The sequence below is a fragment of the Homo sapiens genome, chromosome 4, assembly GCF_000001405.40.
Source record: "Homo sapiens chromosome 4, GRCh38.p14 Primary Assembly".
Classification (NCBI taxonomy): Eukaryota; Metazoa; Chordata; class Mammalia; order Primates; family Hominidae; genus Homo; species Homo sapiens.
Window position 1 is genome coordinate 189,292,140 of NC_000004.12, and position 1,463 is coordinate 189,293,602.

The following is a 1,463-nucleotide window of genomic DNA, read 5'->3' on the forward strand; positions in this document are numbered from 1 at the left end:
CAGAGCAGCCCCTCCCATCACAGGCCTGGAGGCCTAGGAAGGAAAAACAGTTTCATGTGCCAGGCCTAGGGCTCTGGTGTTCTGTGAAGCCTCAGGACATGGCACCCTGTGTTTTAGCAGCTCCAGCTCTAGCTATGAATAAAAGGGGCCCAGGTACAGCTTCAGAAGGTGCACTCTCCAAGCCTTGGTCACTTCCATGTAGTGTTAGACCTGTGGGTGTGCAGAATAAAAGGGTTGAGCTTTAAGAGCCTCAACCTAGATTTCAAAGGATGTATGGAAAACAAAAGTCTGCTGCAGGGATGGAGCCGTCATAGAGAACCTCTACTAAGGCAATGCAGAAGAAAAATGAGGGTTTGCAGCCCCCACTCAGAGTCCCCATTTGAGTACTACCTAGTGGAGCTGTGAAAAGAGGGCCACCATCCTCCAGACCCCAGAATGGTAGATCCACCAACAGCTCACACCATGAGCCTGGAAAAGCCACAGGCACTCAACACCAGCTCGTGAAAGCAGCTGCTGTATCCTGCACAGCCACAGAGATGGAGCTGCCCCTGGCCTTGGGAACCCCCCTCTTGCATCAGTGTGGCCTGGATGTGAGACATGAAGTCACTGGAGATTATGTTGGAGCTTTAAGATTTAATGGTTGCCCTGATTGGTTTTGGACTTGCATGGGGCCTGTGGCCCCTTTGTTTTGGCCTATTTCCCCGATTTGTAATGGGAGCATCTACTCAGTGTCTGTACCTCCATTATATCTGGAAGTAATTAACTTGCTTTTGATTCTACAGGATCATAGGCAGAAGGAACTTGCCTTGTCTCAGATGAGACTTTGCACTTGGACTTTTAAGTTAATGCTACATATATATATACACACATATATGTGTATATATGTACATATATATGTATGTGTGTATATATATGTGTATATATGTATGTGTATATATGTAATATATGTGTGTATATATGTGTATATATGTACATATATGTATGTGTATATATATGTATCTGTATATATATGTATATGTGTGTGTATATATATATGTTAGGTATATATATGTGTGTGTGTATATATATGTGTGTATATATATATGTTAGGTATTAACTCACACGATCACAAGGTCCCACAGTAGGCCATATGCAGGCTGAGGAACAAGGAGAGCCAGTCCAGGTTCCAAAACTGAAGAATGTGAAGTTTGATCTTCGAGGGCAGGAAGCATCCAGCAGAGGAGAAAGATGTAGGCTGGGAGGCTAGGCCAGTCTCTCTTTTCACATTTTTTTGCCTGCTTCATTGTTGCCTGCTCTGGAAACTGATTAGATGGTGCCCAGCCAGTTTAAGGGTGGGTCTGCCTTTCCCAGCCCACTGACTCACACGTTAATCTCCTTTGGCAGCACCCTCACAGACACACCCAGGATTGATACTTTTTGTCCTTCAATCCAATCAAGTTGACACTCAGTGTTAATCATCACAC